Source organism: Homo sapiens, chromosome 12, assembly GCF_000001405.40.
Source record: "Homo sapiens chromosome 12, GRCh38.p14 Primary Assembly".
Classification (NCBI taxonomy): domain Eukaryota; kingdom Metazoa; phylum Chordata; class Mammalia; order Primates; family Hominidae; genus Homo; species Homo sapiens.
In genome coordinates, this window is record NC_000012.12 from 68,538,233 (window position 1) to 68,563,528 (window position 25,296).

The following is a 25,296-nucleotide window of genomic DNA, read 5'->3' on the forward strand; positions in this document are numbered from 1 at the left end:
AGAGTCCTGTTTCCAAGTAACCATCCATGAAGCAGCTTAAGACTATCCACAGTAGCTTCCCACCCATGACAGCAGTGATTCTGCCCATAAACTAGCTGGTTTACCCAAGATTCCATCAGAGGCCCTCTAGCTCCCACAAAGATTTCATTAAAAGATATCAATAAAATCTAAACTATTTTATTTTTGGCAAAAGTCTTTTGGTAAAAGGCATTTTTGGTAAAATATCTATTTCATACTTTATTCTTGCTCTTCAAACTTCCAACATATTTGTTATTCTTCTAGCTGCTGAGAGTCTTATTGTTTTGCTGAGAAAATAAATAGAGGCAATCAGAAAAGAGCTTCCAAAGACTACATCAAAAAACATGTCCCCGTGAGCACCTAGAGGCCTCCCCATAATTTCTAAAAAAAAAAATCCTACAAGTTTATTTTTAGAGTCTGTTTGCCTCCAGTCTTAGGTCCATACATGTTAACCTTGATATACTCAATTGATCTAGACACAAGCCCAACCCTTACCCACGCTTCTACCAAAAAATAAAATAAAGTAAAATAAAAAATTAGTTGCATCAAGTACTTAGCCAGCTCAGTCATTTTAGCAAAGGCTTGTGCGGGAGGATGGAGAGGAAGAGTCACGTTGAGAAGATGTTCTCTGATTGGCTCCAATGCTCCTCCCCTCCCAGGCCCTCTGGACGCCCTTGCAAGTTACAGCCAAATTGCTCCCTTTGTCTCAGAAACATTCCGCCCACACCCTGGCCCCTCCTGGGATCTCTTCTACTTTAGAAGCTCTTATCAGGGTATTTTTCAGAGTAATTACATTTCCCTTTCTGAAGGAATTCTGGTGCCAACTGTTAATAAAATAACATTCCTCCTCCTTATTACATGGGATGCACCAATTTTTATCCTGGAGCAGCTTCCAGTGTTAGAATAGACAGCAGGAGATTTCATGTATTTTAGAGCTTAGTAAACTTAACTTTTACCAAAAATAAAATAGTTTAAAAACAAAATGGAGCCGCAGGGAGGAGTACTTAGAGGGGCGGAGCTAACAAGTGGTTTTCCACGTTTGCTCAAAGTGGGGGCTGTTGATGTGTGTGGTTTGTCACCGCAGGCTTCCAGAGCCAAGTTACATAAAAGAGCAGTCCCTTTCACTTTCTAAAGGATTGTATTTTGCTGCAAACTGTGACCATGCATAATGAGCTTTTGATACATTTCTTTTAAAGTGCATGGTATAACCATAGGGTTTTGCATTTTCGGGTCCTCCCCTCTTAATTGAAGGACTGGCACACACAAGATGACATCACAAATTCCTTAGTTTCATTAAAAACAGTGACTACTCTATCCACTTAAGTTATGAGAATTGCTTTTCTAAAGGAAATACATTTATCGGGAGCCACAGAAATTTTCTAAATATAGGGTAGCTTCCTGAAACAGTAGAAGCAAGTGCCTTCAGGACAGTTTATTTATATAATTTAATGGAATTTGATTCCTTTGAAATTGGCAAGTAAATATAAGTAAAGGGAAAGCTGTCTGTTATTTTTTATGGAAGTATTTCATGAAGATCTTAGGTTTCATATCATTACACATTCCTTGGCTCAGTTGATAATGGGCACGTAAACTACTTTATGCAATTGAAAGGGGTATACTTTTCACATAATTTGGGGGTGTGATTATTATTCAAATATATGTGCCTAATTATTACAAACACCCTTAGAATTAATTTATCTGGGCCAGTATTTTCATGATTAAATCCCTCCCCCAATCCTTTCTTGACCCCTGCTTGGTAATTAAATCACATTTTATTATAACAGTGCTTCTTAATAAGACAGTCAATTCTTGCAGTGTCCCTGCAATAAAATGCTCTTCCAGAGCACAGTCTGCACCATCTAGATGATTTCTACAGCCAGTACCAAAGGGCCATTTGTCCCAGGCAGGCATTGAATGACCGTACCCTTTTTAAAGCAGTTCTCCTTAGCAAATGCCCAGTTTATGAGGCCTTTCTACTAAGGGAGGAGACCACCCCTCATATTTTCTTATGCCCAATTTCTGCCTCCAAAGAAAGAAGAAGTAAAAACTAAAAGGCAGAAATGAAATCCACAGTCAGACAGCCCTGCGCCACACCCTGGGCCTGGTAGTTAAAGATTGACCCCTGACCTAATCGGTTATGTTATCTATAGATTACAGACATTGTGTAGAAAAGCACTGTGAAAATCCCTGTCCTGTTATGTTCCGTTCTAATTACCGGTGCATGCAGCCCCCAGTCACATACCCCCTGCTTGCTCAATCAATCACAACCCTCTCATGCAGACCCCCTTAGAGTTGTGAGTCCTTAAAAGGGACAGGAATTGCTCACTCGGGGAGCTCTGTTTTTGAGATGTGAGTCTTGCCGATGCTCCTGGCCAAATAAAGCCCTTCCTTCTTTAACTCGGTGACTGAGGGGTTTTGTCTGTGGCTCGTCCTGCTACATTTCTTGGTTCCCTGACTGGGAAGCGAGGTGATTAACAGAAGGTCAAGGCAACCCCTTAGGCGGCTTAGGCCTGCCCTGTGGAGCATCCCTGCAGGGGACCCCAGCCAGCTTGAGTGACGTGGATCCTGAGAGCGCTCCCAGGTAGGCAATTGCCCCAGTGGAACACCTAGTCAGAGTGGTGCATGGCAGGCCCCTGCAGAGGATCAACACAGTGGCTGAACACCAGGAAGGAACTGGCACTTGGTGTCCGGACATCTGAAACTTGGTAAGACTAGTCTTTGGAACTTGCACACTCCTTTGGAGTGGAAGCGTGGCCTGATAACCCACGGCATGCCTGTACCAGCACTTTGGTTTTTGTTTTTGACTTGACTTGGATTGCTTGATACTTTGGTTTTGGTTTTGACCTGGCTTGGATTGCTTGATACTCTGATTTTGGTTTTGATTCTGGTTTGGTGTAAACTGTAAAAGTGTGTGTGTACCCTTTTTACCCATTCTTTGTTTTGTGGTGTGCGTGTGGTGTGAACTTGGTGTTTTGCCTCAAGGAAGCATGGGTCAGGCACAAAGTAAGCCCACCCCACTAGGAACTATGTTGAAAAATTTCAAGAAAAGATTTAAGGGAGACTATGGAGTACTATGACACCAGGAAAACTTAAAACTTTGTGTAAGATAGACTAGCCAGCATTACAGGTGGGTTGGCCATCAGAAGGAAGCCTGGATAGGTCCCTTGTTTCAAAGGTATGGCACAAGGTAACCTGTAAGCCAGGGCACCCAGACCAGTTCCCGTACATAGACACTTGGTTACAGCTGGTTTTAGACCGCCCCGCCACAGTGGCTGAGAGAACAGCAGCATAAGCGGCTAGCAGAGGCAAGGAAAGACCAGCAAAGAGAGAGAGAGGAAGAGACAGAGAAACAAAGAGGGAGTCAAGAAAAGAGAGAAAGAGAGAGAGAGGCAGAGAGAGAGGAAGAGACAGAGGCAAAAGGAAAGTCAAAAAGAGAGAAAGAACAAAAGAAAGAGAAAGAAAGAGAAAGAAAGAAAGAAAGAAAGAAAAAGAAAGAAAGAAAGAAGAGAAAAGAAAGAAAGACAGAAAGACACAAGTAGTTAAGGAAAAAAAAGTGTACCCTATTCCTTTAAAAGCCAAGGTAAATTTAAAACCTATAATTGATAATTAAAGGTGTTTGCTGTAACCCTATAACACTCCAATACCACTTTGTTGTCAGTGTAAACCAGGGCATATCCTGAAAGCACTGAGGCCTTCCTATCAACAATCCTTAACCCAGTAACCCACAGATGGCCCAAATGCATTCAATCTGTAGCAGCAACTGCTTTGCTAACAGAAGAAAGTAAAAAAATAACTTTTAGAGGAACCTCATTGTAAGCACACCTCACCAGTTCAGAAGTATCCTAAAAAAAAAAAAAAAAAAAAAAAAAAAAAAAAGATGGTTTAACATTAACCACTGAAAATTGCCTTAACCCAGCAGGTTTCCTAACAGGGGATCTAAATCTTAATTACCATACAAAGGTCCAACCAGACCTAGGAGGAACTCCCTTCAGGATAGGACCATAGATGGTTCCTCCCAGGTAATTAAAGGAAAAAAAAAGCCATCTGTACCAATTCTAAGTTAATTTGGACTAAACAAGGTCTTATTAATAGCAAAGGATAATTGAAATCCCAAACTTACAAGGTTTTCAACAAAAGTAAAGTTTGCTAAAAGTTAACCATGTAACATGTATTATAGTAACTTCTAATCTTGTGGCGTTAGATAGTCTGGTCCACAGACATAAAGGAAGTTCACTTTGGAAAAGAATGATTATCTTTGAAAAAAAAAAAAAGGGGGAAAAAAGGGGGGGCAGAATTTATGTAAAAAGAATGTTATATAGTAAATTCTTGTCCTGAAATAAATTAACTGGTTGTTTAAAGAAAGAAATGTTTGTAATAAGTCAGAAAGTTAAGGCATGTCAAAGAATTGTCTGTAAAAGTCATGAAAGAGAAAAAATCATTTAAAAAAAGTGTGTTAAAAAAAGAATTTATACAAGAAATGTTGTATAATTTAAAAGTAATTGGGCCTCCTGAATGTAAAACTATTTTTTACCTACATTAATATGTTAAAATTTTGTTTTAAAAGTTTAATCAGGTTTTAAAACATTAATTGTGTGTAAATTCTGTGTGTAAACATATTAGCTAAAGTTAAAGGGGTATCACACAGTTTTTCTGTGAACTGGACATTAAAGTAAAAACATGACAGGTTTTTCTTAAAGCACTAACCTGCTCTTTAACAAAGATTATAAAAGGTTAAAAAGAGTCTATAAAAATCTTACCTTATGGTCTGACATTAAAAATTGAATAAATATGTATATAAAGTTTTATTAAAACTAAGTTTAACATTATAACACACTAATATAAAGGTGAAATTTAGCTTATCTGGTATAAAAATCATACCGGAAGCATTGTCAAATATAAAATGCTGATTGGCTTCTTTGGTCCAAAAACTAATAAAAATAGGTGCTAAAGGAAATTACTCAGTAGAAAGGCACCAAGGACTATAAAATTCACTGCTGGTGTCCCCACATTTAAAACAAAAGCTCAATTTCTTAGAAATTATGTACTTGGTTTATCTTCCACTTTCCTTTCCCTCAAAACTAAAAGTCTTTTAGCAAGTGTACCCCCCCCTAGAATTTCCAGTAAACCACCACCAGCATGAAGATCACATTCTCATCAAAGGGTGAAAAGAAAGGAAAATCGAGCCAGCCTAGGAAGGACCCTACCTTGTGCTGCTAACCATCAAGATTGCTGTTCATACAGAAAAAAAAGGATGGACTCATCACAACCAAGTCAAGAAAGCACCATCCCCTCCAGAGTCGTGTGCTATAGTCCCAGGGGAAAACCCTACCAAACTAAAGCTAAGAAAAATTTAATTCTTTCATGTATTCTATTACTCTTTCTTCTTTCCTGCTCTTTTGCTGACCTTCTAGTTATTAACATAACCAAGTCAATTTCGCCTCAAACTATTGCATTTAATGCTTGACTTGTTATACCCTGTGGGGACTTGCCAAGTCAAAGACAGCTCTCTACTTCAGAAAAGTACCTCTGTCCCTCCTGACTCTCCTCAGACTGGGCATTAGTAAATTAGGACCATTTAATCCAGGGAAATTTCGATAAAGGCTCCCGTGTCAACCAGGAGTCTTGTTCCCCAGTGTAGAGCTTTTATGCCATAGTTGGTCCAACATTCTGTGGACCACTAAAGAGCAAGGATGGACTACCCAAACAGTTTTTATAATTTCCTAAAATCATACATTCATTTTACTAGAGGATCATAGAAGTTAAAGACTTAAAACAAACTTTGGCAATTAAGACAGGATACCAAGATGCAAATGCCTGCTTGGAATGGATCAAATATTCCATCTGCACATTAAACAAAAGGAATTGTTATGCTTGTGCACATGGTAGGCCAGAGGCCCACATTGTCCCCTTTCCACTAAGGTGGTCCTCCAGTTGACCAGGTGTGGGCTGCATGGTAGCTCTTTTCCAGGATTCTACAGCCTGGAGTAATAAGTCGTGCCAAGCTCTCTCTACTATATCCCAAAGTACGGCACCCTGCAGGTCAGCCCAGGAGGACCATCCAGACTCTGTCTCCCAACACTAAGTTCACTTCCTGTCTCTCATGACAGGGAGGAAACGTAGCGTTCCTTGGAGACCTGAAGGGATGCAGTAAGCTTAAGAATTTTCAAGAGCTTATCAATCAGTCAGCCCTTGTTCATCCCTGAGCAGATGTATGGTGGTATTGCGGTGGACCTTTACTGGGCACTCTGCTGAATAACTGGAGTGGCAATTGTACTTTAGTCCAATTGGCTATCACTTTCACCCTGGCATTTCATCAACCAGAGGGAGGAAAAATAAGACATCGTAAAGCAAGAGAAGACCTTTATGGGTCTTTCAACTCTCACGTCTATTTAGACATGAGAGTCCCTCGGGGAATACCAGATCAATTTAAAGCTTGAAATCAAATAGCTGCAGGATTTGAGTCAATATTTTGGTGGGTGACAGTTAATGAAAATGTAGATTGGATAAACTACATCTATTACAACCAACAGTGACAAGCTTTTCATGAGTTAAAAGAAAAACTCATGTCAGCCCCAGCCCTGGGGCTACCTGACCTGACAAAACTCTTTACACTCTATGTGTCAGAAAGAGAAAAAATGGCAATTGGAGTTTTAACCCAGACTGTAGGGCCCTGGCCAAGGCCAGTGGCCTATCTCTCAAAACAACTAGACGGGGTTTCCAAAGGCTGGCCCCCATGTCTAAGGGCCCTGGCAGCAATGGCCCTGTTAGCACAAGGAGCAGATAAACTAACCCTTGGGCAAAACCTGAATATAAAGGCCCCCCCATGCTGTGGTAACTTTGATGAATACCAAAGGGCATCATAGGCTAACAAATGCTAGATTAACCAAGTACCAAAGCTTGCTATGTAAAAATCCCCACATAACCATTGAAGTTTGCAACAACCTAAACCCCACCACCTTGCTCCCAGTATCAGAGAGCCCAGTTGAACGTAAGTGTGTAAAGGTATTGGACTCAGTTTATTCTAGTGGGCCCAAACTCTGAGACCATCCTTGAACATCAGTAGGCTGTGAGCTGTACGTGGATGGGAGCAGCTTCACCAACCCCTGCAAAGTGACTCTGAAGAAGATGAGAAGCCCTACTCCAGTCACACCTGGAAGCTGACTGGTCCACATGTGCCCGAAGCATGAGAAAACTCATTGTGGGACTCATTTTCCTTAAAATTTGGACTCGTACAGTAAGGACTTCAACTGACCTTCCTCAGACTGATTACTATTCCCAGTGTATACATCAAGTCACTGAGGTAGGACAAAAAGTTGCTACAGTCCTATTATTTTATGGTTATCATAAGTGTACTGGGACTCTAAAAAGAACTTGTTTGTATAATGCTATTCTATACAAGGTATGTAGCCCCCAAGCTGATGTGTGTTATGACCCATCTGAGCCTCCCATGACCATAGTTTTTAAAATAAGATTAAGGACTGAGGACTAGTGAGGGCTCATAAATGATATGAGTAAAGTGTTAGCCAAAACAGAAGAAAAAGGAGTGCCCAAACAAGTCACCTTGAAATTTGATGCCTGTGCTGTCATTAATAGTAATAAGTTAGGAATAGGATGTGGTTCTCTTAATTAGGAAAGAGGCTATATGACAGAAAATAAGTACATTTGTCATGAATTAAGACTGTGTGGAAATGAATGTGGATACTGGTCTTGTGTCATTTAGGCTACTTGGATAAAAAAATGAAAGGAATCCTGTCCATCTTCAGAAAGGGAAAAGTGACCCTTCGTGTACCAGTGGTCTGTGTAACCCCTTAGAACTAGTAATAACCAACTCCCTTGATCCTCGCTGGAAATAAGGGGAGCATGTAACCCTAGGAATCGATGGGGCTGGACTGGATCCTCAAGTAAATATCGTGGTTTGAGGAGAAGTTTATAAACGCTCTCCTGAGCCAGTATTTCAAACCTTCTATGATGAACTAAATGTGCCAGTACCAGAAATTCCAGGAAAAACAAGAAATTTGTTTTTGCAATTAACCAAGCATGTAGCCCAGTCTCTCAATGTCACTTCATGTTATGTATGTGGAGGAACTGTAATGGGAGATCAATGGCCATGGGAAGCCTGAGAATTAGTACCTACAGACCCAGTTCCTGATGAATTCCCAGCTCAAAAGAATCACCCTGATAACTTCTGGGTCCTAAAAGCCTCAGTCATTAGACAATACTGTATAGCAAGAGTGGGGAAGGACTTCACCCTTCCTGTGGGAAGACTCAGCTGCCTTGGGCAAAAACTGTATAATAGTACTACAAAAACAGCCACCTAGTGGAGTTCAAACCACACTAAGAAAAATCCATTTAGTAAATTCCCAAAGTTGCAAACCGTGTGGACCCACCTGGAGTCCCACTGGGACTGGACAGCCCCCACTTGATTATACTGAATATGTGGGCATAGAGCTTACACCAAATTACCCGACCAGTGGGCAGGTAGTTGTGTTATTGGCACTATTAAACTATCTTTCTTCCTACTGCCCATAAAGACAGGTGAACTCCTGGGCTTCCCTGTCTATGCTTTCTGCAAAAAGAGAAGCATAGCTATAGAAAATTAAAAAGAAGATGAACAGCCCCCTGAGAGAATCATACAATATTATGTGCCTGGCACTTGGGCACAAGATGACTCATGGGGATACCAGACCCCCATTTACATGCTCAACCAAATCATATGGTTACAAGCTGTCTTAAAAATAGTCACTAATAAGACTGGCAGAGCCTTGACTATTCTGGCCCAGCAAGAAACTCATATGAGAAATGCTATCTATGAAAATAGATTGGCTCTCGACTACTTGCTAGCAGCTGAAGGAGGGATCTGTAGGAAATTTAACCTTACTAATTGCTGTCTACACGTAGATGATCAAGGGCAAGTAGTTGAAGACATAGTTAGAAATATGACAAAACTAGCACATGTGCCCGTGCAAGTGTGGCATGGATTTGATCCTGGGGCCATGTTTAGAAAATGGTTCCCAGCACTAAGAAGATTTAAAACTCTTCAAATAGGAGTTGTAATAGTAATAGAAACCTGCTTACTGCTCCCTTGTTTGCTACCTCTACTTCTTCAAATGATAAAAAGCTTCATCGCTACCTTAGTTCATCAAAATGCTTCAGCACAAGTGTACTATATGAATCACTATTGATCTGTCTTGCAAGAAGACATGGGTAGTTAGAATGAAAGTGAGAACTCCCACTAATGAGTGAAGTTCTCAAAAGGGGGAATAAAGGAGGAGACCACCCCTCATATTGTCTTATGACCAATTTCTGCCTCCAAAGAAAGAAGAAGTAAAAACTAAAAGGCAGAACTGATATCCAAAGGCAGACAGCCCAGCGCCACACCCTGGGCCTGGTAGTTAAAGATTGACCCCTGACCTAATCGGTTGTGTTATCTATAGATTACAGACATTGTATAGAAAAGCACTGTGAAAATCCCTGTCCTGTTCTGTTCTGTTCTGTTCTAATTACCGGTGCTTGCAGCCCCCAGTCACATACCCCCTGCTTGCTCAATCAATCACGACCCTCTCATGCAGACCCCCTTAGAGTTGTGAGTCCTTAAAAGGGACAGGAATTGCTTACTTGGGAAGCTCGGTTTTTGAGACATGAGTCTTGCTGATGCTCCTGGCCGAATAAAGCCCTTCCTTCTTTAACTCGGTGTCTGAGGGGTTTTGTCTGAGGCTCGTCCTGCTACACTAAGATTATAATAGAAGTGACTTGCCAAATCAATTTTCTACCTCTGTTTCACCACTGTATGGAAAAGCAGGTGACAAGACTGTGGCACAGAGGAAACAGGAATGCTGTTTTCTCACTGAGGCTGTTCAGAGCTTCAGTTGTCTGATTTCCTCAGCTGTGAATCTCTTTATGCACCCAGCCCCCTACCAGCTTCATAAAAATCAGGCTCCCAGGGAAGACCACAGCACAGTAGGATCCAATCTAAGAAGTGGATGTTCAAAAAATAAGGCAACATTTGCATGTGTAGAATATGTTTTTTGAGAAATATCATCATGAATTTCTTTTTAGGGCAGTGGGGCATTCAAACACTCAACTTGACAACCGACAATACCTTCAAAGAGAACATGCTGATTATAATAGTCAGATTTTCAGAAAACCTGAGGGCCAATTGCAATGCACTGAGTATTGTTTAAATGTGGATTGCATTCCACTAGATAGTTGTTAAATACCAACTCTATACAAGGTATCATGAGGATCACAGGCTGAGTAAAATAGTCCTTTCCCTTAAGACACACATCCTCACAGAATAGAGATGATGGTAGTAGTAAAATTAACCCTGACTAATATTTCCTGAGTGTTTACCATGTGTCAGATGCTTGATATGCATTATCTTCTATAATCTTTATGACAACCACAAGAAGTAAGGATTGTTTATTTCTTCATTTGCAGATAAAGAAACCAAAGCCAGAAGAAAGACAGTGGTGAAACCAAGATTCAAATTCCAAAAGTTGGACACCACCAAAGTTCCCACTCCTAAGCATTCTATTTATTACTATTATTATTATTATTATTATTATTATTATTATTATTATTATTTTGAGTACAGAGTCTGACCCTGTCACCCAGGCTGGCGTGTATTGGCACAATCATGGCTCACTGCAGCCTGATGCCCCTAGGCGTTCTGCTATATTGCATCCATTATCATGATGCTAAAACAGAAATGTGCATTGGGAATGACTGGGAGTGGAGAATAGATGAGTTGAGAGAACTAGGAGAAATTTTTTGAAAAGCTGTGAATACCATAACAAATAATATAAATGGCAATTCTTGAAGATTTTCTTCATCATCACATTCTCTTCTGTCTATTTTAGGCCAGGCACAGTGGTTCATGCCTGTAATCCTAGCACTTTGGGAGGCTGAGGCAGGTAGATCACCTGAGGTCAAGAGTTCGAGACCAGCCTGGCCAATGTGGTGAGACCCTGTCTCTATCAAAAATACAAAAATTAGACAAGTGTGGTGGCAGGTGCCTGTAATCCCAGCTATTTGGGAGGCTGAGGCAGGAGAATCACTTGAACCTGGGAGGCAGAGGTCACAGTGAGTTGGCACACCATTGTACTCCAACCTGGGCAACAGAGTGAAATTCCATCTAAAAAAAAAAAAAGTCTGTTTTTTACTTTATTCTTGCTCTTCAAACTTCCAACACCTTTGTTACTCTCCTTCTAGCTGCTGAGAGTCTTATTGTTTTGCTGAGAAAATAGAGGCAATCAGAAAAGAATTTCCAAAGAGTCCCAAGACTACATCAACAAACTTCTCTCCAATGTCCCCATGTACTCTGCCCACACTTTCTATGATGGAGGAACTTTCCATACTCCTATCTATGGCTAGCCCCTTCACCAGACACTGGGTCCCAGGCTTTCTCACCTTCTCAAGGACACTAATGACACTGCTTCAGCAAATGTCCCCTCTCTCCTGTGTTATCCATCATTATTCCTATTATCATGAAATTTGCCCTACCTAGCTCATTAAAAACAAACCTCCCTGTACCACATCATCCCTTTAAGCTACCTCCCTATTTTACTTTCTCATGACAGCAAAGTTTTTCTAAACTAAAGGACTGTTGTAACTCACTGCCTGTACTTCCTTACTTTTTTTCTGTCTTGAAAAATCTCCATTCAGGCTGTAACCACTTCACCAACACAATGTGAAAAACTGTGCTTATCAACTTCCCCCCTGTCCAATGGCAAAATTCAAATGTCAGTTACTCAACACAGTTGATTATTCTCTTCTCCTTGAAATCTTTTCTTCACTCAGCTTCCAGAGATCCCTTCTCCCTCATGGATAACTCTTCTCAGTCTCCTTGGCTGATTCCTCCTTATCATCTCACTTCTGACCATTGGAGCACCACAGTTTGTCCTTCTCTACCTATTCTTATTCCTTGGTGGTCTCATCTAGGCCTGTGGCTTCAAATATTATCTATATTATCTATATACAAATCCCAAGTGTGTATCTCCAGCACAGACACTTCCTGAATTCAATAAGCATATATCCAATTGTTTATATCTCAACACCTCTACTCAGACAGCTAATAAGCATGCAAGAGATATGTTCAAAAACATGATTCTAATCACATTCCAGGCCACTTACTCTGGCTACCTTACCCCTCCCTGTCAATAGCAATTTCATTACTCCAGTTGTTCAGGTCAAAATAATTGAAGTCATTTTTCACTCTTCTATTTTCATTCAGCAAATCCTATTAATCGTAGCTACAAGTTGTAACCAAGGGTCCAATCATTCTCTACACCCTCATCACTACCACTCTTGTCCAAACCACCAGCATCTCTCAACTTCATTTCTGTTACTTCCTCAGCTGATCTCACTGTTTTCATCTTTGCCCCTCTAGAGCCTATCTCCAGCCAACAGCCATCAATCCTTTTCAAATCTAAATAAGATCATGATACTCTTTTGTTCAAAGCCCTCCGACAACTTCTTTTATCATCAGAACAAAATCCAAAGTCCTTAGGATGAACTACAAAGCACAACTTGACTCAAGGTGGGGGGCACCACCCACTCACCCACCTCAAGCTCACCTTCCCTCACTCTCCCCCTTCCTCACTGTGCTCCAGCCACATCCACCAACTCTCACTCCTTGAACTCAACAAACACATTTCTTCAAGGCCTTTTCCCTTGCTATTAAGCCTCAAAAGCTCTCCCTCCAATCAAGTCTTAACTCAAGTTTCTTCTTATTTGGAAAAGTAACCCTCAAAACCTTATCCAAGAAAAGCACCATCTTTGTTATTTTCTGTTACTTTATTTTGCTTTGATTCCTAAAACTTACCACTTATCTATAGATAGATAGATAGATAGATAGATAGATAGATAGATAGATATGGAGAAAGACCCTCAACAAATGCTTATTAGTTTAATAAAAAGAGATTCATTGAAGATTTCTTAGTCAGATGAGAATCTAGATGTTGTTTCATGAATATACCGTGGCAGCAGTGCGTCAACTAGATTTGAGTGGACAAGAAGCTGTAATTAGGGAGACAAGTCAGAAGGCACTTGCAACTCAGACCTGCTAAGCCAGTATACTTGCAGTGGTGAGGGAGAACGAACACAAAAATTAGCCTATTTTCTAGCCTGCTTTGTCACTTCCCTGTGCCTACAAGAGCTGCTCTTTCCCCTATTGCAATCCTTCTATCATATTAGCCAGGAAATGTACTTCTGCTATAAAAAAAGTTAGTGACTTCAAATCTGAACTCCCAAGACATTAGTCAAAATACAGGTGGCCCCACTCTATCTCTTCAGATTTCCCACTACTCCCCAGGATTAAACCTCTGCTTTATTTAGACCGGTCTCCTTATAATACTATAAACTATGATTTGCTGTACTGGGACCAGATTTGATTCATTATTGGGTCCCTAGCACCTAATGCAAAGTGCAAACTCCTGACCTCAGTTGATCCACCTGCCTCAGCCTCCTAAAGTGCCAGGATTACAGGCATGAGCCACCGCACCCAGCCTTTCACACGTATTGAAACTTCTACCTGGGATGTTCTCTCCCTGTCTTTAATCACAATCATATAAAAATTATATTCATCAATTGGGCAAGATCTAATTTAAATCAAATCTTGTCTCTGAAGACTTCTCTGGCTATATCAGCCCATCTTAGAACACAATGTATTTATGGTCCCTACCTCCCAATTTAACATTATCCACAGCATGCTGGTATTATTCAGTAAATAACTCATGTATGTTATTCTTATTTTCTTAACTTAATCACTTTATTTAAGAAGCATTTCTTCACTCCCAAGACTAGAATAATGCTTCCATTGCACCCTATCTTATCATTATGTGGCATTAATCACCATGTAATCAAAATCTTGTAATTACCTTTTAAGCAAATCTCAATTCCCCACTAATTACAAACTAATTGAGAGCACAGAGTGGGGCCGAGCACAGTGGCTCATGCTTTTAATCCCAACACTTTAAGTGGCCAAGGCAGTAAGATCCATTGAGCCCAAGAGTTCAAGACCAGCCTGGGCAACAAAACAAACAAACAAACAAAAAATTAGCTGGACACAGTGGCATGCATCTGTAGTCCCAGCTACTCAGGAGGCTGAGGTGGGAAGATCCCTTGAACCCAGGAGTTCAAGGTTGCAGTGAGGTGTGATCACATCACTGCACTCCAGCTCGGGTGACAGAGCAAGATCTTGTCTTTAAGATTAAAAAAAAAAGAGCATAGATTGAGCCTTGTTCAAGGTTATAACCCCTGAAACAGTGCATAGCATATAAAAACAAATAATAATCACTGACTAAATGAATAAAGCTCCTAAAATAAAGGATTATATCTGATACAAGGGCCACAGCACTTTGCACTCAAATTCTTTAACATCTAAGGCATTCATTTTCTTCATTTCTACAATATATTTTACCCTCAAAAAACTGGGTATAGAAGAAACATATCTGAACATAATAAAACCATATATGATAAACCCACAGCTAGTATCATAGTGAATGGAGAAAAACTGAAAGCCTTTCCTCTAATATCTGGAACATGACAAGGATGCTCAGTGTCACCACTGTTATTCAACGTAGTACTGGGAGTCATAGCTAGAGTAATCAGACAAGAGAAAGAAATAACGAGCATCCAAATTGGAAAGGAAGAAGTCAAATTATTCTTTTTTTTTTTTTAGAAACTGATGCTTATTTTCCATCAACCATTTTTCCATGCTGCTTAAGAGCCTATGCAAGAACAGCTTAAGACCAGTCAGTGGTTGCTCCTACCCATTCAGTGGCCTGAGCAGTGGGAGCTGCAGACCAGTCTTCCATGGCAGGCTGAGAGCTCCAGTCTTCAGTAGGGAATTGCTGAATAGGCACAGAGGGCACCTGTACACCTTCAGACCAGTCTGCAACCTCAGGCTGAATAGCAGTGAACTCAGGAGCTGGAGCAGTCCATTCACCCTGAAATTCCTCCTTGGTCACTGCCTTTTCAGCAGCAGCCTGCTCTTCTTTTTCAATCTCTTCAGGATCTCTGTAGAAGTACAGATCAGGCATGACCTCCCATGGGTGTTCACAGGAAATGGTGCCAAGCATGCACAGAACTTCCCGAGCCAGCATCCACCACATCAAACCCACTGAGTAAGCTCCCTTGTTGTTGCATGGGATGGCAATGTCCACATAGCGCAGAGGAGAATCTGTGTTACACAGCGCAATGGTAGGTAGGTTAACATAAGATGCCTCCGTGAGAGGCTGGTGGTCAGCCCTGGGGTCAGTAACCACAAGAAGCCGTGGCTCCCGGAAGGCTGCCTGGATCTGGTTAGTGAAGGTTCCAGGAGTGAAGCGCCCAGCAATTGGAGTGGCTCCAGTGGCAGCAGCAAACTTCAGCACAGCCGTCTGGCCAGTATTCCTGGAGGATATAACACTGACATCAGCAGGGTTTTCAATGGCAACAATAGCATGAGCTGCCAGCAGAAGCTTCTCCCAGGTCCTCTTCAGATTTATGATATAGATGCCATCACTTTTCCTTTCATAGATGTACTGTTCCATCTGGAAGTCAAGATTGGTGCCACCTAAGTGGGTTCCTGCTGCAAGGAACTTAAGGACATCCTCCTCCCTCATTTGCAGGACATCAAGGGCTCCGGACATTGTGAAAGTTTCCCTTTAAGTTACAACGGGAATCCAGAACAGCGCCGTATGGACCCCTCTGCAGGTAGCGCGGAAAGCAAAGTCAAATTATTCTTGTTTGCAGATGATATAATCTTATATTTGGGAAAACCTAAAGATTTTACCAAAAAACTATTAGAACTGATTAACAATTCAGTAAAGTTGCAGTATACAAAATCAACATACAAAAATCAGTAGCATTTCTATATGCTAACAGTGAACAATCTGAAAACAAAATAAAAAAGTAATCTCATTTGCAATGGCCACAAATGAAACTAAATACCTAGGAATTAACCAAAGAAGTGAAAGATCTCTCTAATGAAAATTATAAAACACTGATGAAAGCAATTGAAAAGGACACCAAAAAAATGGAAAGATATTCCATGTTCATGGATTGGAAGAATCAATATTGTTAAAATGTCCATAATACCCAAAGTAATCTACAGATTCAATGCAATCTCTATGGAAATACCAATAACAGTCTTCACATAAATAGAAAAAACAATCCTAAAATTTATATAGAACCACAAAAGACCCAGGATACTCAAAGCTATTCTAAGCAAAAAGAACAAAACTGGAGGAATCACATTACCTGACTTCAAATTATGTTACACAGCTATAGTAAACAAAACAGCATAGTACTGGCATAAAAACAGACACATAGACCAAAGGAACAGAAAGATAACCCAGAAACAAATCTATACATTTATAGTGAACTCATTTTCAATGAAGGTGTCAAGACTACACACTGGGGAAAAGACAGTCTCTTCAATAAATGGTGCTGGGAAAACTGGATATCCATATGCAGGGAAAGAAATTAAACCCCTCTCTCATCGTATACAAAAATGAAATAAAAATGGATTAAAGACTTAAATCTAAGACCTTGAACTATGAAACTACTACAAGAAAACATTAAAGAAACTCTCCAGAACATTGGTCTGGGCAAACATTTCTTGAGTAATACCCTACAAGCACAGACAACCAAAGCAAAAATGAACAAATGGGATCACATCAAATTAAAAAGCTTCTGCACAGCAAAGGAAACAATCAAAGTGAAGAGACAATCCACAGAGTGGGAGAAAATATTTGCAAACTACCCATCTGACACGGGATTAATAATCAGAATATATAAGGAACTCAAACAACTCTATATGAAAAAAATCTAATAATCTGATCAAAAAATAAGCAAAAGATTTGAATAGACATTTCTCAAAAGAAGACATACAAATGGCAAGCAGGCATATGAAAAGATGCTCAACGTCATTTATCATCAGAGAAATGCAAATAAAAACTACAATGAGATTTCACCTCACCCCAGTTAAAATGGCTTATATCCAAAAGGCAGGTGATAAAAAATGCTAGGGATGTGGAGAAAAGGGAACCCTCATACACTCTTGGTGGGCATGTAAATTATTAATTGTACAGCCACTATGGATAATAGTTTGGAGATTCCCCAAAAAACTAAAAACAGAGCTACCATATGATCCAACAATCCACTGCTAGGTATATATCCAAAAGAAAGAAAACCAATATGTGAAAGAGGCATCTACACCCCCATGTTTGTTACAACACTGTTCACAATAACCAAGATTTGGAAACAACCTAAAGTGTCCATCCACAGGTGAATGAATAAAGAAAATGTAGTACTATACACAGTGCAGTACTATTCAGCCATAAAAAAGAATGAAATCCTGTCATTTGCAACAACATGGATGGAACTGAAAGTCATTATGTTAAGTGAAATAAGCCAGGCACAGAAAGGCAAACAGTGTATTTTCTCACTTATTTGTGGGATATAAAAATCAAAACAATTGAACTCATGGAAATATAGAATAGAAGGATGGTTTCCAGAGTCTGGGAAGGGTAGTGAAGCAGTGGGAGAGAGGTGGGGATGGTTAATGGGCCCCAAAAAAATAGAAAGAATGAATAATCTACTACTTGATAATACAACAGGGAGACTATAGTCTAATAATTTATTTATTTTATTTATTATTATTATTATTATTATTATTATTATTATTATTATTAGAGACAGGGTCTTACTCTTATTGCCCAGGCTGGCTTACTGCAACCTTGACCTTCTGGGCTCAGGAGATCCTCCCATGTCTGGTTCCCAAGTAGCTGGGACTACAAGTGTGCACCGCCACACTCAGCTAATTTTTAAATTTTTTTGTATAGACAGGATTTCATCATGTTGCCTAGGCTGGTCTCGAACTCCTGGGCTCAAATGATCCACCCACCTCAGCCTCTCAAAGTTCTGGGATTACAGGCACGAGCCACCTCACCCAGCCTATAGTCAATAATTTTCTTTTTTTTTAGACGGAGTCTCACTCTGTCAACCTCCACCTCCCTGGGTTCAAGCGATTCTCCCGCCTCAGCCTCCTGAGTAGCTGGGATTACAGGCATGCATCACCAAGCCTGGCTAATTTTTTTTATTTTTAGTAGAGACGGGGTTTCACCATGTCGACCAGGCTGGTCTTGAACCCCTGACCCCAAATGATCTGCCCGCCTCAGCCTCCCAAAGTGCTGGGATTACAGGCATAAGCCACCATGCCTGGCCATATAGTCAATAATAATTTAATTGTACATTTTTAAATAACCAAAAGAGTATAATTGAATTGTTTATAACACAAATAATAAATGCTTGAAGGGATGGATACCCCATTCTCCACAATGTGCTTATTTCACATTACGTGCCTATATCAAAATATCCCATGTATCATATAAATATATACACCTACCATATACCCGCAAAAATTAAAAATTAAAAAAAGTTTTAAATAAAATAAATTTTAGAACTCAGACAAGTCACCTCTACTATAATTGTAATAACAAAAGCTTTCATGAGCTTTGCTCAAAAGTATTTTTTTATTCATCCATTTTCATTCAATAAACAAAAATTTATTGAGTACACTGTACTAAAAACTGTGTGAAATAGGAAAGCAGGTAAAGCAGGGAGTCTGCTCTCAAAGAATAGGCAAGATAAACATGTACACAAATATTTACAAGGCAATATTTTACTACAGGAATTCAAAAGACTGAAAGATTCATTATGGCTGATACAATTACAAAAAACTCCAAAAGATCCAAGTAGGACCTTTTGAAAGATAAATAGAATCACACTAGGTGACCACTAGGATCTTTCAAGTTACAGAGAACGGCTTGAGAAAAGCACTAAGCCAGGCTTTGAATCTAAGTGTCTGACTTAAAACCTTTAACCACTACATGACACTGCCCCTTAACAGGGAGCACAACCCGCATCCAACTATTCAATTATCCCAGAGTTTGATGTTTGAAGACATTGCCTGTCCTCCCCTCCCACTTCTTTCCTCTCTCCTTCTCTTATCTCCCTCACCTCTCTCTCTCTCACACACATACACACACACACACACACACACACACACACGTCCATTCACTTGAACTAAAAACATTGAAAGCATTATTTTTAAAAAATGAAAGAAAAACATTTTCCCACTCCCATTCTTAACCTTTAAATATCAGTTTATTTCTAGTAAAAGGTCTTGGTGGCTGAATCATCCTGATAATGGCTTAGATTTGCTGCTACATACATGTAGTCACAGCCTCCCTCTAGACTCACTCCCTGACAACTTCTGTAAGGAAAATGAGCTCTATGGAATAGAAATGATATTAGTCATGCTCATTTCATCCCAGAGATTTCAACTATCCCATGTTCTAAAATTGTCAAGATTTTATTTTCAACCGTCGTTTCCTATTTTATGGGCAAAGTTCCCAGCATCTTCAGGGAGGGCAAGTTTCACACCTCAGGACTAACTGCCAGATTGGTGGGAGACCTTTCATTGAATTTAATACCCAAATAAATTAAGGTTTTCAAAGTTGACGTAAAACCTCATTAGGCAAACATTGGTAACACAGAGAAGAATCTTATAATAGATCTCATTCCGTTTATTCCATTCCCAGATTTGCTACTGAAGTCTTTAATAATTTTTAGATTGTCTCAGATGGAGACACACAGATAATTAGTTAATGCAAACAAAATATTGACACATGGTTTTAAAAATAAAGAGAAACAGGATATGAGAGGATATAAGCCCTTGCAGCAGAAAATAATACAAGACAAACAGCAGCCTCCATGCAGCCCAGCCTCAACTTCCATTTTCTGAACATACGTACATTTCCTCAAATAACAAAGTCATAACCATTGTTATACTTTAAAAACTACCTACCTTCCTCTGTCCTTTCCCTGCTCCCTCCCCTAAAGAGCAATTCAGTGGATGGTTCTATACATCAACTAGGTTTGTGGCACCACTGTAGGTTTACAGTTCAAACTGTTTTTCTAGAGAGAGCTAAGGAAGAGGCTAACAGAAGTTCTCTGGTTAACCTTGTCCTCACTCTTACAGGGCCACCTCCAAGTAGGGCGAGGAGGAGACCCATTAGGCTCTGTGGGAGCCAAGACTGCCTTGTCTGGCAGCCTCAGGTTGGCATTGAGATCTGGATTGTCACTCCCTATGTGGCCTTGGGTACAGTATGGTATTGAAACTCCCTCTGCTTCAGTTTCCTTGTGAATAAAACCTAGATGATACTTACCCTATAGGACTTTCCTATGGATTAAACAAAATTTGTTTAAAAATCAAAGTGTCAGAGATATGGAAGCATCCAAAGAGCAGTAACTACTAGATTATACTAACAAGCTCTACTAGTGAAACTTTCTTCCCTCTCTTAAGTATTTCTCCCATTTCCTGTGATTCAGGACAGTATCAACGGGTCTTTGCTCTCTCTAGGTCACACTGCCTCTTTAGAGTTTCTTCTACCCTGCCCCTCTTTTTTGTCAAAACAACCTATCCTCACATTCCTAGTTCATCTGCTCTCACCATGGGGGTTACCTCCCTTTTCTGTTTTGCATTTTGTCTTTAATAATATATTTATTATGTTCATAGATATATGTTTAATAATATATAATAACCTATATTATATAGGTAATATATAGGTAATATATTATATAGGTAATATATTATATATATGTTATATAATATATAATAACCTATATTATTTATAATAATATAAAATAACCTATATTTTTTAGCTCCTGACAGTTTACAAGCACTATCACAGCCCAGTTCTCACCTGATCCTCCTCATGGTCCCATGAGAGAAGCAGAATGGATATTGTTTTTCTTCATCTTACCTAAAGAAATTGAGGGTCCAAGTGATGAAGGGATTTGCTCAAGGTCATACTGAGAGAGAAAGAGGCAGAGTTCTAGAGCTGAGGATACAACAGGGGGCACCAATGCCTCTGCCGTCAGGGAGCTTTCATTTTAACTACAATACATTTATCAAAAATAAATTAATTATTACATAATAAATCAATGATTTATAATGCCAGGGAGTTATAACTGCTATAGAAAATAACAAAGCCGGATAAGGGGATAAAGAGAAAGTGACTGTATTGAAGTGAATGGGGAGAGTCATTTAGATAGGACATTCAGAGAAAACCTCTTTTGAGCAGTTGAGGAAGTGAGTCATGTGAATATCCATAGACAGGTCATAGCAAGTAGAAGGACCAGCAAGGACAAAGGCCCTGAGGTAGGTGTGTTCTTGGCTTAAAAAATAGCATGTTGAACAGGGTGCCATGACTCATGACTATATTCCCAGCACTTTGGTAGGCTGAGGCAGGAGGATCACTTGACCCCAGGAGTTCAAGACCAGCCTGGGCAACATAGTGAGGCTTTGACTCTACAAAAAAATAAAAATAGCAAATAGAAAAAATTAGCATGCATGGTAATGGGAGGCTGAGATGGGAGGATCATTTGAGCCCATAAGTTCGAGGCTGCAGTGTGCCATGCTCACATCACTGCACTCCAGCCTGGACGGCAGAGCAAGACTCCAACTCAAATAGAAACAAACAAACAAACAAAAGAACAGTATGTCCATTGAGCATTAATTTTACTGATTATGATTAAGTGTTATTTGAAGGAAGCATTCTGTAGTCCAATAACTTTCAGAGCCTCTGGATAAAGCACAGCTTCCAAGCGCGAATAGTCTTAATATATGAATGCACTCTGTGATCTTCTTGAAGGAGCTATAGCGTGCAGCATTGTGCAGTGTTATTCAAGTATGAAAACCTTTTCTCAAGGAGCACCTCAGGGGATTTGTACTGCAAGGAGCACTCTGGAAAATGCTGCACCACACCCTGCTTCTACTGGAAAGAGGAAGTTGGGCTAGGAACTAGAACTTCAGGCACTGCGTAAAGCCAATGGAAGCCACCCTCGGAGACACAAATTGCATCAGGCGGTGGCCAACTCCACTTATCCACAGTGTGAATGTTCAGCCACTCCTGTTTTTTGTCACTATCTGAAACTACTCGTGGCCCCTATTTCCTGTCTGGATCACTGGTGTTTTCCATGACTTAACCCTGGTGAGCTGTTTCCAAGCTCTGCTGACCTTCAGTAGTGTTCTCATTTGGGGAAATGGAAGCAGAAACAGGCACGTATGGCAATCTGCTCAGAGGATGCTCCCCTGCTGACTGGGGGTGGGAACCATAGCGAGGGAAGAGGGGATTTCCATTGCCCTGAATAAAGTGTGGAGCTGGTGGCCTCCCCTGCAGCCTTGAGCAGGAATTCAGCTCAGGCTGTGTCACATGAGCACTGAGCTCCAGGGCCATGGACAAGTCTAGAGGCGATATAGCTGCAGACAGGTGGAGGACACTGCAAGAGGAAGGCTCCCATTTAGCAGGAAAACTGCCAGCTGGGAAGAATGCTGGTGGCTGCCTGAGTTGGGAAGAATTCCCAAGCCCTCTGCAAGCTCAGAAGCCAGGAAATGAATGGGAAGCAGCTGGAGTGGGCCAAGCAAGTCAAGGCAAATGGCCCAGAAGTGAGCAGAAGGGGGCCAGGCCCACCCCCAGGAAACCCAGCAGAGGTCAACTAGGCCTGTGGCACTGGAGGAGGCTAGGAGAGGTGAGCAGCCGGTCTCAAGATTATCACTCTGTGGGCCTGGACAGAATTTTATCAGAAGAGTGCCAAAAGGAGTCATCTGTTGGCTTTAAAAAAAATTAACTGTATAAATAGAGGTTAATTCCAGATGTTGCTTAATCCTAAAATACATAACATTTAAGTGATGGAGTGTAAATACTAAATGAATTATTTCTTTTAGGACTTTCAACGGAATCCTACAAAAGATCTGGCTAAGAGCTTGGCCAAAGACTAACAAATACATCCTGGATAAAATTAAATTTTTGTCCTTGTGATGCCTCATCAGAGGGGTTAAAAACATCAGTTCGGGTCTATGATCTATGCACAATTGAGAACATCTACTGAAAGCAATAAATGCCTAATGCCCCAGGCTAGAATTGGTGAGTATTTTCTCTTCATGTGATGCAATAGATACAATTAACAAAACAAGGCCGGGTGCAGTGGCTCATGCCAGTAATCCCAGCACTTTGGGAGGCTGAGGCAGGAGGATCGCTCGAGCTCAGGAGTTGGAGACAAGCCTGGGCAACATGGCAAAAACCCATCTCCACAAAACATTCAAAAAATTAGCTAGACATAGTGGCGCGTGCCTGTAGTCCCAGCTACTCGGGAGGCTGAGGTGGGAGAATCACTTGAACCCCAGAGGTTGCAGTGAGCCAAGATGGCACCACTGTACTCCAGTCTGCTGACAACATGAGACCCTATCTCAAAAAGAAAAAAAAAAATGCTGGGCACAGTGGCTCACGCCTGTAATCCCAGCACTTTGGGAGGCCGAGGCGGGCGGATCACGAGGTGAGGAGATCCAGACCATCCTGGCTAACACGGTGAAACCACATCTCTACTAAAAATACAAAAAATTAGCCGGGCCTGGTGGCGGGCGCCTGTAGTCCCAGCTATTCAGGAGGCTGAGACAGGAGAACGGCGTGAACCCGGGAGGCAGAGCTTGCAATGAGCCGAGATCACGCCACTGCGCTCCAGCCTGGGGGACAGAGCGAGACTCCCTCTCAAAAAAAAAAAAAAAAAAAAAAACAAGAACTATTGTAACTTTTATTATGTGTTGAGGGCTTGCCGAGTGCCAGAAATTTTACACACAGCCTTTTTAATGGTTACAATAAGCTAGTATTACTATACCCATTTTATAGATGAAGAAACTGAGGTTCAGAAAGATTAAGGAATTTGTTCAATGCCACGAGGCTAATTACGTGATTGGTTTGGAATGCAGACCCAGATCACTCTGACCTGAAAGTCAAACGCGTTTTTCCTATTACACGCTGTTATCACATAGCACCAGAAGATAATTAGAACTCAGAAGTCGAAGTTTAAGAAATCACAAAATGCCATCCTACGACACTCGTCCACTCACTAATGATTTATAAAATAAATTGTTTTAGTATCTTCTTTATCAGACATTGGGAAGATCAATAAATATTTGCATGGTGCTTTGAGAGAATTAGAAAGCAAATGCTAGATTTTTGTTGCTGTTGTTGTTTTTTAAAGAATGTTTTATGCCATGAGATAGATCAGGCATAAACCTGGACTGGTTCAGCTGCTCTAGGTCACCCGAGTTGTCGTAGCTTTGCACCCTTATGTGAAGCAGCTGGGTTAGAGCTTCCTCCATGACATTAAAGGCAATCAGAGTCGTAGGTAGTACTTCACCAGCTTCTGAGAAACTTGGTATTCTTGTTCATTCTTCCCTGCTCCTCAAACTGCTCTTTAATTCTGAAGACCCTTTCAGAAGAATGTAAAAATGTAATCAAGAAACAATCAAATTGGACTTCGCAGGGTCTACGTGAAATTCTCATGGATCCTCATATACTTAATCCCTTAAGTGATCCCTTTTTTCTTCTCCCTCCGACACATCTTCCCAGAGCCAAGCCACTGGCATTCTTAACTAAAGATGAACTCAATCCTTTCTGTTTAATTTGCTTTTATTTTAATAAAGTATTAAATTGTTCAATTCATAAGCCTATTACTGTGTGCCAGCCACATATTTCCAGAAAAAAAGGGAGGGGGGAATTGGTTCCAACAAAACTGTCATTGGTGTTGCTTATTCATTTTGTTTTTATTGACAAGGTCATGCATTTATACATTTTTCATCTGCATACCATTGCAATACACAGCCAGGGCTGAAAATAGTACCTAAACTCTTGACCACAATGATAGCTTTAATAGCATGTAATTCATATAATCCCTCAAAGTTGCCTAGGTAATCTAACTTTAGTTAATAAGAGGTATCTGTGTAAAAACACCAAGGAGAAAATATGCTTTATTTTCGTCAGTATAAATATACACACTGATATTCATCATCATATCTTAGAAATAATAAAGTATTGTAAAACACTTTTCAATAGTTTTTACTAACAACCTCCATACTATACCCATGATTGAAAATATCTACAACCAAAAGAGAAATTGAGGGACAAAATTAATTAATTTACATAAAACCACCAAGAAAGTTAAAAGTATGCAGTCTGTAATCTAGATCAATTTAAGTTCAACATTAAAGCTTCTGCATAAAAATTCCTTTGTAGTAAGATGACCTTTAATTTTCAGAGGCTTTGTAGCTATTCTTGTAATCATTCAAGGTCAAATGGAAAAAGATAAAGTGAAACAAAGCTTGCCCATCTTTGCAATAAGGTGACAAATTCTCTTTCAATCTTTTCCCTACCTCAATGCATTGAAACC

At 40.3% G+C, this 25,296-nt stretch overlaps 1 pseudogene, besides 1 other annotated feature; it reads right to left on the minus strand.

Moving 5' to 3' along the window:
• Positions 375–1,337: an enhancer, noted in NCBI's record as "NANOG hESC enhancer chr12:68932387-68933349 (GRCh37/hg19 assembly coordinates)". NCBI's record gives its function as "activates a minimal SCP1, AML or CMV promoter by ChIP-STARR-seq in primed H9 embryonic stem cells {active_cell/tissue: H9 hESC(primed)}" and the evidence as "EXISTENCE:reporter gene assay evidence [ECO:0000049][PMID:30033119]".
• On the minus strand, positions 14,693–15,726 carry RPSAP12 (ribosomal protein SA pseudogene 12; annotated as a pseudogene).